This window comes from Homo sapiens, chromosome 3 (assembly GCF_000001405.40).
Source record: "Homo sapiens chromosome 3, GRCh38.p14 Primary Assembly".
NCBI classification, from domain to species: domain Eukaryota; kingdom Metazoa; phylum Chordata; class Mammalia; order Primates; family Hominidae; genus Homo; species Homo sapiens.
Window position 1 is genome coordinate 126581201 of NC_000003.12, and position 18426 is coordinate 126599626.

General features: G+C 39.4%; 1 long non-coding RNA gene across 1 annotated transcript in view; it reads left to right on the forward strand.

Annotated features, from left to right (window-relative positions):
* The window catches only part of LOC105374090 (uncharacterized), a 48528-nt gene that overhangs the window by 22188 nt on the left and 7914 nt on the right, over positions 1 to 18426 (forward strand). The window contains exon 2 of the long non-coding RNA XR_924455.2: positions 4455 to 4511. This is a non-coding gene — a long non-coding RNA (uncharacterized LOC105374090). The remainder of the gene's footprint in view (positions 1 to 4454; positions 4512 to 18426) is intronic.

The following is an 18426-nucleotide window of genomic DNA, read 5'->3' on the forward strand; positions in this document are numbered from 1 at the left end:
TGACATGCAAACTTAGGAGACATGTCAAAAAACAAGAAAATGTAACCCATCAATAAGAGGTAACGTTCAAAACGTTCAATAAAAGCAGACAGGGATGACCAAGGTGTTGGGAACAGACAGGGGCTATAGAACTCGGATAAATATGTTAAATAGTCTAAAGGAAAAGGTGGATGTTATGTGAGAATAGAGGAGGAATTTGAGAAGATAAGTGAAAATATAAAAAAGAACCTACAGAAATGCTAAAAAGGAAAAATGCAATTCATAAATAAAGAATTCATTTAATAGTTTTAACAGAAGATTGGATATAGTAGAAGAAATAATCAGTGAACCTAAAGACAGGTCAGTATGTCCAAACTGAATTACAATTATCCAAACTGAAAAACAAAGAGGAAAAAATTGAAAGTCTGAGATATGTAGGACATTAGAAGTTTAACACATCTGCAGCTGGAATTCTAGGAGAGACAGTATGGACAGAATAAACGTTTGAAGAGGTAATAGCTGAGAATTTTCCAAACTTGGTGTAAGACATCAACCTACAAATCCAAAAGCTCAGTAAAGCTCAAGCAGGATAGGTACAAAGAAAAACATCTATAGGTACATAAGAGCCAAACTGCTGAAAATTAAAAATAAAGAAGAAAAATCTTAAGAGCTGGCAGAGAATGGGAAAAAGATACATTACATAAGAGGAAAACAATAAGGGCGACAGCTGATGTCTCATCAGTAACAACAGAAACAAGAAGATGAAGGAACTGCATCCTTAAAGTGCTGAAAGGGGGAAAATGTCTAATTAGACTTCTCCATCCAGCAGAAATAACCTTCAAAAATGAAATTGAAATAAAGACATTTACAGATAGACAAAAGCTGAGGAAATCAGTCTCTACCAGACCTGCGAGAAATGCTAAAGTTCTTCTGGCTGAAGCCGAAAACAGATAAAAGTGAGTTAAGGCATTTTCTTTTCATTTGTTTCTTGTGGGTTTTCCCCCTACTTACAACATAGATGGAAAATGGCTTAACTTCCTAGAGATTAAAATATATAAATATGGGTCCTAGCACTGAGCTGAAAGAGATGTCTGGCCATGAGGAAAGTGGCTAGGTGGCACAGAGAGCCATGCAGAGGGCAGCAGGGAAGCAATATGAGTTCCGAGAGTTCCAAGAGAAGCAGACAAATCCAGCAGCAACCTGCAGCAGTGAGTGACTCGAGAGCAGATGGGGCAAGCCCCTATTCTCCCAATAAGCAAGAGGTGCATTCCCTGGACATCTGTCGCAGCTGGGGAATGACTTGAGTCCTGGCTCTTTATATTGAAGATCACAACCAGAACAGACGGCAGAGAAGTTATGCCTGAGGGCTTTGTATGAACAGCTGTAAAACCCACAGCATGGTCTTTGATCACTTTGAGACTTCCATCAGTAGAAGAAATACTAAGTGAAGATAGGTCTCTGCTTTTAAATAATGTATACCTTTCAAACTGTTTATTTTTTATGGCAATTTTCATGAGCAAAAGATGGCAGACAAATTAAACCTGTCCAAAAACGGGTAAAATGTTCTGATCACATGAAATATAAACTGAGTCCTATCTATTAATTTATTAACATTATCTCATGCTGCCTTGATAAAGTGGAAAAAGAATGAGTTTGGAATCAACAGGCTGAGGTGTGAAACATGGCTCCAAAGGAGGGCCACTCTCCCTGTGGACAGTTTCCTCATCTGTATTTCGTAGTGTTGTTGAGATGGTTAGATGAATGTATAAACCCAGCATGACTTCAGCTTACTGCAGAATTCAATATTCATTCCCTTCCCTGCACATGACAAAACCAATCTGTGCAGTTGACTGTTTACCTGTGCCTGGTATTCCCAGTCAATTATAAACTCTTTGAGGGTGCAGACCACACATAATCCCCTATGCAGGACTGGGTCTTGTGTCACAACAATGGCCGAATAAACAAGGGTGATTTCCTAACACCATAGCATGGCACTAGCTAAGGCTGTCAATGGTATTAAATGAATTCACTGACTTATAGCTTAAAGAAGTCACATATACCACCTTATAAAATCATCACAGGCTTCTTGCTGTAGAAAGGGATGAAGGTAAGTTAACAAGGCAGAGAATGTTTCCTACCTAGTATAATCAGGCAACCTCCAGGGAACAGCTGAAGTCTTCAGTAGTCCATAGTCACTTATATCACACAAAAGAAACATATTAAGAAAACATTTTGTGCTCTAAGAAGACAATTTGGGGCAATAGAGTCACAGCATGTTTGCCAGGAGCGGTGCACCGAATATGTTCACTTACATCCACTCAGCCCGCACAGCTAACATCCTGCAGTGACTTCACCCAAGGATTTTCATCAGCCCCCAAACAAGAACAAAACTGCCACTCTGCATTCACTCCTAAGATAGAAACTGCTCCCAAGAAAGCCATAATATGATGAAATGTTTTCCCCACTCATGTGGCAGGTAGCTTGACAACAGAAGTGAAACGGAGCAACTGAGTTGCTCCTCAAACGCGACAATCATGGATCATCTTTGAATCTGGAGGGAAATTGAAGGAGTTGAGAAACCTGGGTGGCCAGGGTCATAGATGACCTGGTACAGCCCATAGGAGCCCAAGACAGGTGGTTCAAATCACAGAAATAAAGCCATCAGTAGTGCTGGAAGCTAATTCCCACACATCTCTTCCTGCATACTGTTCACATGGCAGTGTCATGCTGGGACTAAAGAATGAAACCCAAGTATACAGTCTGCCAGTGCTAATGGGAAACATTGATTAATCAGGAGAGTTAATAAAATCACAGTCTGCTAATGGGCAAATTCTGTGACACTGCATCCCAGATGCCTAATTCTGGATAAACACACACACACACACACACACACACCCCTCAGACCTGCTCTTCTACCTAGATTCTCATCTCCCTTCATTCATCCTGTCCTCAGCCACTTTAGCTAGAAACATGTGACATCCCCAGTCTCTATTGTTACATACTTTTCATGCAACCAGTGTCTACCATTTGGTATCTGTTCAATGTATACTTTGAGCATTGATTAAATATCAATTTGGGCCACGTGTAATGGCTGACATCTGTAATCCCAACGTTCTTGGAGACCAAGGCAGGAGGATCACTTGAGGCCAGGAATTCGAGACCAGCCTGGGCAACAAAGCGAGATCTCGACTCTACAAAAAGTTTAAAAAAATTTAGCTGGGCATGGTGGTACATGCCTGTAGTCCCAGCTACTCAGAAGGCTGAGGCAGGAGGATCACTTGAGCCCAGGAGTTAGAAGTTACAGTAATCTATGACTGCACCACTATACAGCCTGGGCAACAGGGTGAGACCTCGTCTCTTTAAAAAAAATCAATTTTGAAGTATAATTTACATATAATAAAATGCACCAAATAGGTATTCATTTTGATTTATGACTGATTGATGAATCAACTAATTCATACAGTCCTGTAGCCATCACCACACTCAAGATAATGAACCTTCCTGTTACTCCAAGAAGTCCCATTGTGTCCCTTCCCAATAACTACTAACCCTTACCCCAGCCAACCACTGATTTGCTTTTTATCACTACATATTAGGTTGGTCTTTTCTAGAACTTCATACACGTATTATGAACATACACAAATAGTATGGACTTTTTTGGCTTCGTTTGGCATAATGATCTTGAGGTTCACCCATGTTACTGAATTTTGTCAGTGATCTACTCATTTTCATTGCCAAATAGTATTCCATTGTATGAATGTATTATGATGTATTTATCCAGTCACTTTCTGATGGACATGTGGGTTCTTTCCAATTTGAGGGCGTTATGAATAAAGCTGCCTTTCACACGAGTCTTTGTGTTTTACCTGGGAGTTAAATCATGGGGATATATAGTAAGAGTACATAGTAAGTTAAACATACATAGCAAGTGTATGTCTAACCTAACAAGGAACTGCAAAGTGGTTTCCTATTTCTACCCTTTATGTATGAAAGTTCTTGTTGCTCCACATTCTCACCAACGTTTAGTATTGTCAGTCTAAATGTAGCCACTTTTATGGGTGTGTTGTTGTATTTTACTGTATTTTTAATTTGAATTTCTCTATACTTAATGATGTTAAGCATCTTTTTATGTTGCTATTTTTGCTAAATGCACACTTTTATTGGCAAACATGAAACATCTGCTCAAATCTTTTACCCATTTTTTATTGGGTTCCTTGTCTTCTTATTGTTGACTGGTAAGGATTCTCTACATAATCCAAATACAAGCCCTTTGTTGGATCTATATTTTATAAATATTTTGCTCCTAGTCTGTGGCTTGCCTTTTTCTTTCATAAAAGCTCTCAATGACTTTTTCAAAATGTTGATGAAGTACATTTATCATTATTTTATTCTATAGTTCATAATTTCTGTATGTTATCTAATAAATCTTTGTCTACACCAAGATCATGAAGGTTTTCTCCTATGTTTTCTTCTAGAAGTTACAAACATACTTTGAAAACATTGGGAACTTGGTTCCAGACCACCACAATAAAGTAAGTATCACAATAAAGGGAGTCACATGAATTTTTTGGTTTCCAAGTGCATATAAAAGTTATGTTTATACTATCCTGTAGTCTGTTAAGTATATAATAGCATTATGTCTAAAAAACAATGTACATAATTAAAAATACTTTATTGCTAACAAATGCGAACAATCATCTGAGACTTCACCAAGTCACAATCTTTTTGCTGATGGAGGGTCTTACCTCGATGTTGATGGCTGCTGACTGACAGAGTGGTAGCTGCTAAAGACTGGGGTGGCTGTGGCAATTTATTTTTTATTTTATATATATATATTATACTTTTAAGTTCTAGGGTACATGTGCACAATGTGCAGGTTTGTTACATATGTATACATGTGCCATGTTGGTGTGCTGCACCCATTAATTCGTCATTTACATTAGGTATTTCTCCTAATGCTATCCCTCCCCCCTCCTCCCACCCCACGACAGGCCCCAGTGTGTGATGTTCCCCACCCTGTGTCCAAGTGTTCTCATTGTTCAACTCCCACCTATGAGTGAGAACATGTGGTGTTTGGTTTTCTGTCCTTGCAATAGTTTGCTCAGAATAATGGTTTCCAGCTTCATCCATGTCCCTACAAAGGACACGAACTCATCCTTTTTTATGGCTGCATAGTATTCCATGGTGTATATGTGCCACATTTTCTTGATCCAGTCTATCATTGATGGATATTTGGGTTGGTTCCAAGTCTTTGCTATTGTGAATAGTGCCACAATAAACATATGTGTGCATGTGTCTTTACAGCAGCATGATTTATAATCCTTTGGGCATACACCCAGTAATGGGATGGCTGGGTCAAATGTTATTTCTAGTTTTAGATCCCTGAGGAATCACCACACTGTCTTCCACAATGGTTGAACCAGTTTACAGTCCCATCAACACTGTAAAAGTGTTCCTATTTCTCCACATCTTCTCTAGCACCTGTAGTTTCCTGACTTTTTAATGATCGCCATTCTAACTGGTGTGAGATGGTATCTCATTGTGGTGTTGATTTGCATTTCTCTGATGGCCAGTGATGATGAGCATTTTTCCATGTGTCTGTTGGCTGCATAAATGTCTTCTTTTGAGAAGTGTCTGTTCATATCCTTTGCCCACTTTTTGATGGGGTTGTTTAATTTTTTCTTTTAAATTTGTTTAAGTTCTTTGTAGATTCTGGATATTAGCCCTTTGTCAGATGGAAAGATTGCAAAAATTTTCTCCCATTCTGTAGGCTGCCTGTTCACTCTGATGGTAGTTTCTTTTGCTCTTTAGTTTAATGAGATCCCATTTGTCTATTTTGGTTTTTGTTGCCATTGCTTTTGGTGTTTTAGTCATGAACTCCTTGCCCATGCCTATGTTCTGAATGGTATTGCCTAGGTTTTCTTCTAGGGTTTTTATGGTTTTAGGTCTAACATTTAAGTCTTTAATCCATCTTGAATTAATTTTTGTATAAGTGTAAGTAAGGGATCCAGTTTCAGCTTTCTACATATGGCTAGCCAGTTTTCCCAGCACCATTTATTAAATAAGGAATCCATTTCTTGTTTTTGTCAGGTTTGTCAAAGACCAGATGGTTGTAGATGTGTGGTATTATTTCTGAGGGCTCTGTTCTGTTCCACTGGTCTGTATCTCTGTTTTGGTACCAGTACCATGCTGTTTTGGTTACTGTAGCCTTGTAATATAGTTTGAAGTCAGGTAGCGTGATGCCTCTAGCTTCGTTCTTTTTGCTTAGGATTGTCTTGGCAATGTGGGCTCTTTTTTTCATTTCATATGAACTTTAAAGTAGTTTTTTCCAATTCTGTGAAGAAAGTCATTGGTAGCTTGATGGGGATGGCATTGAATCTATAAGTTACCTTGGGCAGTATGGCCATTTTCACGATATTGATTCTTCCTATCCATGAGCATGGAATGTTCTTCCATTTGTTTGTGTCCTCTTTTATTTCGTTGAGCAGTGGTTTGTAGTTCTCCTTGAAGAGGTCCTTCATATCCCTTGTAAGTTGGATTCCTAGGTATTTTATTCTCTTTGAAGCTATTGTGAATGGGAGTTCACTCATGATTTGGCTGTCTGTTATTGGTATATAAGAATGCTTGTGGTTTTTGCACATTCATTTTGTATCCTGAGACTTTGTTGAAGTTGCTTATCAGCTTAAGGAGATTTTGGGCTGAGACGATGGGGTTTTCTAAATATACAATCATGTCATCAACAAACAGGGACAATTTGACTTCCTCTTTTCCTAATTGAATACGCTTTATTTCTTTCTCTTGCCTGATTGCCCTGGCCAGAACTTCCAACACTATGTTGAATAGGAGTGGTGAGAGAGGGCATCCCTGTCTTGTGCCAGTTTTTAAAGGGAATGCTTCCAGTTTTTGCCCATTCAGTATGATATTGGCTGTGGGTTTGTCATAGATAGCTCTTATTATTTTGGGATATGTCCCATCAATACCTAGTTCATTGAGAGTTTTTAGCATGAAGGGCTGTTGAATTTTCTCAAAGGCCTTTTCTGCATCTATTGAGATAATCATGTGGTTTTTGTCTTTGGTTCTGTTTATATGATGGATTATGTTTATTGATTTGTGTATGTTGAACCAGCCTTGGATCCCAGGGATGATGCCAAACTTGATTGTGGTGGATAAGCTTTTTGATGTGCTGCTGGATTCGGTTTGCCAGTATTTTATTGAGGATTTTTGCATTGATGTTCATCAGGGATATTGGTCTAAAATTCTCTTTTTTTGTTGTGTCTCTGCTAGGCTTTGGTATCAGGATGATGCTGGCCTCATAACATGAATTAGGGAGGATTCCCTCTTTTTCTGTTGATTGGAATAGTTTCAGAAGGAATGGTACCAGCTCCTCTTTGTACCTCTGGTAGAATTCGGCTGTGAATCTCTCTCGTCCTGGACTTTTTGGTTGGTAGGCTATTAATTATTGCCTCAATTTTAGAGCTTGTTATTGGTCTACTCAGGGATTCAACTTCTTCCTGGTTTAGTCTTGAGAGGGTATATGTGTCCAGGAATTTATCCATTTCTTCTAGATTTTCTAGTTTATTTGCGTAGAGGTGTTTATAGTATTCTCTGATGGTGGTTTGCATTTCTGTGGGATCAGTAGTGATATCCCCTTTATCATTTTTATTGCATCAATTTGATTCTTCTTTCTTATTAGCCTTGCTAGCGGTCTATCAATTTTGTTGATCTTTTCAAAACAACCAGCTCCTGGATTCCTTGATTTTTTGAAGGTTTTTATTGTGTCTCTATCTCCTTCAGTTCTGCTCTGATCTTAATTATTTCTTGCCTTCTGCTAGCTTTTGAAAGTGTTTGCTCTTGCTTCTCTAGTTCTTTTAATTGTAATGTTAGGGTGTCAATTTTAGATCTTTCCTGCTTTCTTTTGTGGGCATTTAGTGTTATAAATTTCCCTCTACACACTGCTTTAAATGTGTCCCAGAAATTCTGGTATGTTGTGTTTCTGTTCTCGTTGGTTTCAAAGAACATCTTTATTTCTGCCTTCATTTTGTTATGTACCCAGTAGTCATTCAGGAGCAGGTTGTTCAGTTTCCATGTAGTTGTGCAGTTTTGAGTGAGTTTCTTAATCCTGAGTTCTACTTTGATTGCACTGTGGTCTGAGAGACAGTTTGTTATAACTTCTATTCTTTTACATTTGCTGAGCAGTGCTTTACTTCCAACTATGTGGTCAATTTTGGAATAAGGTGTGATGTGGTGCTGAGAAGTATGTATATTCTGTTGATTTGGGGTGGAGAGTTCTGTAGATGTCTATTAGGTCCACTTGGTGCAGAGCTGAATTCAAGTTCTGGATATCCTTGTTAACTTTCTGTCTCATTGATCTAATATTGACATTGGGGTGTTAAAGTCTCCCATTATTATTGTGTGGGAGTCTAAGTCTCTTTGTAGGTCTCTAAGGACTTGCTTTATGAATCTGGGTGCTGCTATATTGGGTGCATATATATTTAAGATAGTTAGCTCTTCTTGTTGAATTGATCCCTTTACCATTATGTAATGGCCTTCTTTGTCTCTTTTGATCTTTGTTGGTTTAAAGTCTGTTTTATCAGAGACTAGGATTGCAACCCCTGCTTCTTTTTGTTTTCCATTTGCTGGGTAGATCTTCCTCCATCCCTTTATTTTGAGCCTATGTGTGTCTCTGCATGTGAGATGGGTCTCCTGAATACAGCACACTGATGGGTCTTGACTCTTTATCCAATTTGCCAGTCTGTGTCTTTTAATTGGGGCATTTAGCCCATTTACATTTAGGTTAATATTGTTATGTGTGAAATTGATCCTGTCATTATGATGTTAGCTGGTTATTTTGCTCGTTAGTTGATGCAGTTTCTTCCTAGCATTGATGATCTTTACAATTTGGCATGTTTTTGCAGTGGCTGGTACCGGTTGTTCCTTTCCATGTTTAGTGCTTCCTTCAGGAGCTCTTGTAAGGCAGGCCTGGTGCTGACAAAATCTCTCAGCATTTGCTTGTCTGTGTGTTGTTTCTCCTTCACTTATGAAGCTTAGTTTGGCTGGATATGAAATTTTGGGTTGAAAATTATTTTCTTTAAGAATGTTGAATATTGGCCCCCACTCTCTTCTGGCTTGTAGAGTTTCTGCTGAGGGATCTGCTGTTAGTCTGATGGGCTTCCCTTTGTGCGTAACCCGACCTTTCTCTCTGGCTGCCCTTAACATTTTTTCCTTCACTTCAACCTTGGTGAATCTGACAATTATGTGTCTTGGGGTTGCTCTTCTGGAGGAGTATCTTTATGGCATTCTCTGTATTTCCTGAATTTGAATGTTGGCCTGTCTTGCTAGGTTGGGGAAGTTCTCCTGGATAATATCCTGAAGAGTGTTTTCTAACTTGGTTCCATTCTCCCCATCACTTTCAGGTACACCAATCAAACGTACATGTGGTCTTTTCACATAGTACCATATTTCTTGGAGGCTTTGTTTGATTCTTTTTACTCTTCTTTCTCTAAACTTCTCTTCTTGCTTCATTTCATTCATTTGATCTTCAATCACTGATAGCCTTTCTTCCACTTGATAGAATTGGCTACTGAAGCTTGTGCATGTGTCACGTAGTTCTCATGCCATGGTTTTCAGTTCCATCAGGTCATTTAAGGTCTTCTCTACATTGTTTATTCTAATTAGCCATTCGTCTAATCTTTTTACAAGGTTTTTAGCTTCTTTGCAATGGGTTCGAACATTCTCCTTTAGCTGAGAGAATTTTGTTGTTACTGATCTTCTGAAGCCTACTTCTGTCAACTCGTCAAAGTCACTCTCTGTCCAGCTTTCTTCCATTGCTGGCGATGAGCTGTGATCCTTTGGAGGAGAGGAAGCACTCTGCGTTTCAGAATTTTCAGCTTTTCTGATCTGGTTTCTCCTCATCTTTGTGGTTTTATTTACCTTTGGTCTTTGATAATGGTGACCTACAGATGGGGTTTTGGTGTGGATGTCCTTTTTGTTTTGTTGATGCTATTCCTTTCTGTTTGTTAGTTTTCCTTCTAACAGTCAGGACCCTCAGCTGCAAGTCTGTTGGAGTTTGCTGGAGGTCCACTCCAGACTCTGTTTGCCTGGGTATCACCAGCAGAGGCTGCAGAACAAATATTGCAGAACAGCAAATGTTGCTGCCTGATCCTTCCTCTGGAAGCTTCAGAGGATCCCAGAGGTGACCCAGAGGGCCACCCAGCTGTATGAGGTGTTAGTCGGCCCTTACTGGGAGGTATCTCCCAGTTAGGCTACTCAGGGGTCAGGGACCCACTTGAGGAGGCAGTCTGTCCGTTCTGAGATCTCAAACTCTGTGCTGGGAGAACCTCTGCTCTCTTCAAAGCTATCAGACAGGGACGTTTAAGTCTGCAGTAGTTTCTGCTGCCTTTTGTTCAGCTATGCCCTGCCCCCAAAGGTGGAGTCTACAGAGGCAGGGCTCCACCCATTTCAAGCTTCCTGGCCTCTTTGTTTACCTAGTCAAGCCTCAGCAATGGCAGACGCCCCTCTCCCAGCCTCACTGCTGCCTTGCAGTTCGATCTGGGACTGCTGTGCTAGCAGTGAGCAAGGCTCTGTGGGCGTGGGACCTGGGCTGTGGCAATTTCTTAATACAAGACAATGAAAGTTGCCACATCGATTGACTCTTTCACAAAAGGTTTCTCTGTAGCATGTGATGCTGTTTGATAGCATTTTACCCACAGTAGAACTTCTTTCAAAAGTGGAGTCAATCCTCTCAAATCCTGTTGCTGCTTTGTCAACCAATTTTGTGATCATTCTAAATCCTGTTATCATTTCAAAAATGTGCACAGCATCTTCACCAGGAGAAGATTCCATCTCAAGAAACCACTTTCATTGTTCATGCATAAGAAGCAATTCTTCATTTGTTCAAGATTGATCACGAGATTGCAGCAACTCAGTCACATCTTCAGGCTCCACTTCTAATTCTAGTTCTCTTGCTGTTTCCACCACATCTGCAGTGACTTCCTCCACTCAAGTCTTGAACCCTTCAGAGTCATCCAAGACGGTTGGAATCAGCTTCTTCCAAACTCCTGTTAATGTTTATTCTGATCTCCTCCCATGAATCATGAATGTTCTTAATGGTGTCAGAATGGTGAATCCTTTCCAGAAAGCTTTCAATTTACTTTGCCCAGATCCATCAGAAAGATCACTATCTATGGAAGTTATAACCTTATTAAATTTGTTTCTCAAACAGTAAGACTTGAAATTCAAAATTACTCCTTGATCCATGGGATCTATGGATGTTGGGTTAGCAGAGATGAAAACAACATTCATCTCCTTGTATATCTCCAGGAGGGCTTTTGGGCGGCCAGATGCATTGTCAATGAGCAGCTATATATATATATATATATATATATATATATATATATATATATATATATATTTTTTTTTTTTTTTTTTTTTTTTGAGACAGAGTCCCACTCTGTGACCCAGGCTGGAGTGCAGTGGCATGATCTTGGCTCACTAAAACCTCCGCCTCCTTGGTTCAAGCGATTCTCCTACCTCAGCCTCCTGAGTAGATGGGACTACAGGTGCCCCCCACCACGTCTGGCTAATTTTTGTATTTTTAGTAGAGACAGGGTTTCACCATGTTGGCCAGGCTAGTCTCGAACTCCTGACCTCAGATGATCCACCCACCTTGGCCTCCCAAAGTGCTGGGATTACAGGCCAAAGCCACTGTGCCTGGCCTCAATGAGCAGTAATATTTTGAAAGCAGTCTTTTCTCCTGAGCAGCAGGGCTCAACAGTGGGCTTAAAATATTCAGTAAAGCATGTTGTAAACAGATGTGCTGTTATCCAGGATTTATTATTATATTTCTAGAGTACTGGCAGAGTAGATTTAGCATAATTTTTAAGGGCTCTAGGATTTTCAGAATGGTAAATGAGCACTGACTTCAACTTAAAGTCGCCAGTGGTATTAACAAGAGTCAATCTGTCCCTTTGAAGCTTTGAAGCCAGGCATCAACTTCTTTCTAGCTGTGAAAGTCCTAGATAGCATCTTCTCTCAATATAAGACTGTTTTGCTTACATTGAAAATCTGCTGTTTACCACCTTCATCAATAATCTTGGCTAGATCTTCCAGATAACTTGCTGCAGCTTCTCCAACAGCACTTGCTTCACCTTGCACTTTTTTTTTTTTTTTTTTTTTGAGACGGAGTCTCACTCTGTTGCCCAGGCTGGAGTGCAGTGGCGTGATCTCGGCTCACTGAAAGCTCCACCTCCCGGGTTCAAGCCATTCTCCTGCCTCAGCCTCCCGAGTAGCTGGGACTACAGCACCCACCAGCATGCCCGGCTAATTTTTTGTATTTTTAGTAGAGACGGGGTTTTGCCATGTTAGCCAGGATGGTCTCAATCTCCTGACCTCGTGATTAGCCCGCCTCGGCCTCCCAAAGTGCTGGAATTACAGGAGTGAGCCACCGTGCCCGGCCACCTTGCACTTTTATGTTATGAAGACAGCTTCTGTACTTAAACCTTATGAACCAACCTCTGCTGGCTTAAAATCTTTCTTCTGCAGCTCCCTCACCTTTCTTAGCCTTCATAGAATTGAAGAGTTTGGGGCTTGCTCTGGATTAGGCTTTGAGGGAATGTTGTGGCTGATTTGATCTTCTATCCAAACCACTAAAACTTTCTCCATATGGGCAATAAGGTTATTTCACTTTCAGTGAAACATTCACGTGTTCACTTGTATAGCATTTTTAACTTCCTTCATAAACTTTTCCTTTGTATTCACAATTTGGCTATCTCTTTGGCACAAGAGGCCTCGCTCTCAGCCTATCTCAGCTTTTGACTTGCTGTCCTCACTGGGCCTAATCATTTCTAGCTTTTGATTTAAAGTGAGAGATGTACAACTCTTCCTTTCCTTTCACTTGAACACTTAGAGGCCACTGTAGGGTTATTAACTGGCCTAATTTCAATATTGCTGTGTCTCAGGGAATAGGGAGGCCTGAGGAGATAGAGAGGCACAGAGGAATGGCTGGTTGGTGCAGTCTGAAACTCTGAACTGGGTATTGGCAAGGACAGGTAGCTCTAGTTGAAGCCCTTCTACTGTTGACTTGAGCAATGGGAAAAGGGCTTCCTGATGCTCAGAGACAGTGGGAGAAATTCTGTTTTTGCTTTTTGTTTTTTTCCTTTTCTCTGCTCATGCTCAGCCCCCAAGCAATTCCATGGCAACGAGATTGGTAGCAGTGATGGCAGAGGCCTAAAACTCTGAGGGGAACCTTATCTCTGGAATGTAGGACAACCCCATTTTTTCCTCTCTCTGTCCTCCTGATACTGGGCCCTTAATGTGCAGAGTTGCATAAAGTGTGTGGCAGAGAGAGGTGAATAAAATCCCAGCTTTGGGGCTAGAAAAACAAAAAAAGGGAGTCCTAGGGAACTAGAAAATATTAGTGAGATTGCACAGAGGAAGGAACTTGGGAATGCAACCCCACAAAGTTGTTTATAAATCACTGATCTCACTCAAAGCTACACACCTATGGATATGACCCTAAACAGCACACTATAGGCCTTGAGAACTGAATTGTGGGACATTTCAAGTTGCAGAGAGAACACTGCGTGGCAGGACACTTTGAAAATGGAACTGACATTGAAACCAACCCCATACAATGCTCATAGGAACTTGCAGCCTGAACCCAATCAGGACAATTGCCTGATAAAACGAAAATGCCAACCTTTGCTATAAGATTTAAATAAGACCAAGAGACTTATAATATTCAAAATGTCTGGAATACAATATAAAATAATAGCATATGAAAAACCAAGATAATCTCCATTTGTGTAAGAAAGGACAATCAATAGACACCAGCACTGAGCTGATACAGATGTGAAATTAACTGATGAAAATATGAAAATGGCTCTTATAAAAATGTCCCTATCAGTAATAGAAAATATTCCTGAAATGAATAAAATAATAGAAAGGCTCAGGAAACAAACAAAAGATATAAATAACAACAAAATGGAAAATTTAGGACTGAAAAATGCAATAACCAATATTTTAATAAGCATCAGATAGACTCAATAGCAGAATGGATATGACAGATTAAAAAGTCTATGAACCTGAAGACAGATCAACAGAAATTATCCAATCTAAACAACTGGCAGGAAAAAAAATTAAACTTAATTGAGTTTCAGGGAACTGTGTGACAATAATATCTAGCCTTTTTGTCATCAGAGTCCCAGAAGAAGAGGAGAAAGGGTGCAGGGATAAAAATATATTTGAAGAACTAATGGCTGAAAATATCCCAATTTTGACACAGACATAAATCTAAGGATGCAAGAAACTCAGTGAACTCTAAATAGGATAAACCCAAAGAAATCTATATCTAAATACATCATGATAAAACTGGCACAAATGAAAGAGAGTCTTGAAAGCCACCAGAGAAAAGCAACACTTACTTATAAAGGGACAATTCAAATTACAGATTTCTCATTAGAAACCATGAAAGCTAAAAGGAAGTGGTACCACATTTTATAACTGCTGAAAGAAAACTGGCCAGGCACAGTGGCTTGCGCCTGTAATCCCAGCACTTTGGGAGGCCAAGGCGGGTGGATTACCTGAGGTCAGGAGTTCAAGACTAGCTTGGCCAATGTGGTGAAACCGTGTCTCTACTAAAAATAGAAAAATTAGCCAGGTGTGGTGGCACACGCCTGTAGTCCCAGCTTGTTCAGAAGGCTGAGGCAGGAGAATTGCTTGAACCCGGGAGGCAGAGGTTGCAGTGAGCCAAGATCGTGCCACTGCACTCTAGCCTGGGTGACAGAGTAAGACTCAGTCTCGAAAATAATAATAATTATTATTAACCCAGATTTCTACATCCAGCAAATTATCCATCGGAAAGCGTGAAATTTTTTAAAAATTAAGAGAATTTTTTTTTTTTTTTTTTTTTTTTGGCCACAAAGCTGGGATTTTTCACTGGGGTTGCACGGAATCCAAAAATCAATTTGAGCAGAAAGAAACATCTTAATAATATGGATTCTTCCAATCCAAAAATATGATATATCTTTATTTCATTTTACAATTTCTCAGCAATGTTTTATAGTTTTTCATATAAAGATCTTGCACATATTTTGTTAAAACTATGTCTAAGTATTTCATATTTATATGCTGTTGTACATGATATTGTAATCATCATATTTTCAATTCAATATGGTTTGTTGTTAGTTCTTAGAAATACAATTGATTGGCGAGTGTGGTGGCTCATGTCTGTAATCCCAGCACTTTGGGAGGCCGAGGTGGGTGGATCACGAGGTCAGGAGTTCAAGACCAGCCTGACCAACATGGTGAAACCCCGTCTCTACTAAAAATACAAAAATTAGCCGGGCGTGGTGGTGCATGCCTGTAATCTCAGCTACTCAGGAGGCTAAGGCAGGAGAATTGTGTGAACCCAGGAAGTGGAGGTTGCAGTGAGCTGAGATCACGCCACTGCACTCCAGCCTGGGCAACAGAGCAAGACTCCGTCTCAAAAAAAAAAAAAAAAGAATAAAACAAGAAATACAATTGATTTTTTATGTTAACTTTGTATTCTTCAACTTTTAAATTCATCTGGAAGTTCTGGTAGTTATTTCTGGCAGATTTCTTAGGATTTTCTATGTACACAATCATGTCATCAGCAAATAAGGACATTTAGGTCTCCCTTTCAAATTTGTGTGCTTTTTATTTATAGTTCCTGCACCACTTAACTGACTAGGACCTCCATTACAATGTTAAATAAAAATGGTAAAAGTCAGCATCCTTGCCTGTGCTCAGTCATCTTAGTATAATGTTAGCTGTACTTGTTCTGTAGATGTCATTTATTTGTTTGAGGATGTTCTATTCCTAGTTAGCTTAGAATTTATATCATAAATGCAAACTTGAGGATAAGTGATAAACATAATAAAAAAACAAAAAAATTTTGTCTTCTAAATCTATTGAGATGACTATATTGCTTTCTTTCTTTTGTTTCTCATATTATTTCATTGCATTTCTGGGATATAAACTTGGTCATGATGGTCATGATGTATTATCCATTGTATAATTTGTTGGATTGAAGATAGAATTTTTAGGAATATTGGAGTTGATTTTCATATGTTGTATCGGTCTATAGTTATTTTCTCTCAAAATTTTTGTCAGTTTTTGGGTACCATTGTTCTGTTGGATGCAAGAGTTGGGAAGTTTTCCTTCCTTCTCCTATTTGTGTAGAATTGGCTTCTTTTTCCCCTTAAATGTTTGAAAAAATTTGACGGCAAAGTCATTTAGTCTTGTTTTTTCACTGCAGAAAGGTTTTAATGATACCTTTTATTTCTTTAATGAATACAGCAATATTCAAATTTTCTATTTCTTCTCGAGTCAGTTTCTCCAGGTGTTTGTCCATTTTCCATAAGTTTTTTTCAATTTAGTGGGATAGAGTTGTTTAAAATATTTTGCTATTATTTTGTTAATTTCTGTAGATTTTTCATTAAAAAACAGATTTTAGGACAGTTTATATGTACAAAAAATGGAGAAAATAATACAGAGTTCCTACACACCCCCTCACTCCACCCAGTTTCCCTTATTAGTATGGTACACATGTTACAATTAATGAACCATGTTACATTATTAACTGAAGTCAATAGTTCACTCAGATTAGATAAAAACATTAGTTATTTTCTGTTCCAGGTTCTCATCCAGGACATTACATTTTATTTGATTGCCATGTCTCCTTAGGCTTCTCTTGACTATGATAGTTTTTTAGACCTTCCTTATTTTTCATGACCTTAACGGCTTTCAAGAGTATTGGTGAGGTATTTTGTAGAATACCTCACTTTTGAATACCTTAATAGCAACTTGTCTGATTTTTTTTTTTTTTTTTTTTTTTTTTTTTTTTTTTAGAAGGAGTCTCACTCTGTCACCCAGGCTGGAGCGCAGTGGCACAATCTTGGCTCACTGCAAGCTCCGCCTCCTGGGTTCACATCATTCTCCTGCCTCAGCCTTCCGAGTAGCTGGGACTACAGGTGCCCACCACAAGCAGGCCCAGCTAATTTTTGTATTTTTAGTAGAGACGGGGTTTCACCGCATTAGCCAGGATGGTCTCGGTCTCCTGACCTCGTGATCTGCCCGCCTCAGCTTCCCAAAGTGCTGGGATTACCGGCGTGAGCCACCGCACCCGGCCACTTGTCTGATGTTTTAATTAGGCTTTATTTAGGTAAATGCAAATAAAAACCCATAAGCTACCAATTTGCAGCCATTAGGATATGAAAATAGCAAGTGTTGGTGAGGATGTAGAGAAACTGGAACCTTGTGCATTGTTGAGGAAAATGTAAAATGATGTGGCCACTGTGGAAAACAATCTGGCAGTTCCTCAAAGATTAAATATGGAGTTACCATATGATCCAGCAATTCCACTCCTGGGTATATACCCCAAAGAATTGAAAGCAAGGACTCAAACAGATGCATGTACACCAATGTTCACAGCAGCATTATTCACAATACCCAAAAGGTGGAAACCACTCAAGTGCCCACCAACAGATAAATGGATAAAGAAAATGCAGTATATCCAAACAACAAAACATTATTCAGCCTTCAAAAGGAATGAAATTATGACAATGCTATAACATAATGCTGAGTGAAATAAGCCAGACACAAAAGGACAAATATTGTATAATTCCACATATATGAGGTGTTAGAACAGGCAAATTTATACAGACGATAAGTAGAATTGTGGTTACCAGAGGCTTGGGGGAGAAGGCATGGAGAGTTATTGTTTAATGAGTAGTTTCAATTTGGAATTTTTTTTTTAACTTCTGAAATGGATAGTGGTGATGTTTATTTAACACCACTGAATTGTATACTTTAAAAAGTTTTTTTTTTAAAGAAACAAACAGCCAATCAGTGTCCATTAATCTTTTTGTTATATAAGTTTTTAAAGATAATTTTAGATTTCCAATTGGGTAAAACTGTGAGCTTCTATTTTAGTTTTTTTGCTTCTCCCCACCCCCATTATCTCCCCTCCCTTCCTTCTTCCTTTCCTCCTTCCCTCCCTCCCTCCTTCCTTCCCACCTCTATCCTTCCTTCCTTCCCTCCTTCCTTCCCCTCTCCCTGCCTTCCTTCCTTCCCCATTCCCTACTTTCCTTCCATTCTCTCCTTCCTTCCCCTCCTTCCCGCTTCCTTTCCTCCCTTCTTTCCTTCCCTCCCTTCTTCCTCACTCCCTTTTTCCTTCTCTCTCTCCTTCCCTCTTTCCTATCTTCCCTCTATCCCTCCCCTTTTCATAGTGGTTACTGAATACACTTTAGGGATGGGGTCCTCTCCATGCTGCTCATACTTAAAATTGTCTTCCCCTAAAGAATCTCAAATCAGTATCATTAGTTAGAGGCCTCCCACATGGCAACTGTGGAATTAACTCCTTGCCTGTGCCATGGGAGTGCCGTGGGTAATTTTTTCCTATAACCTTGAGGATCAAGATCCTTTTAG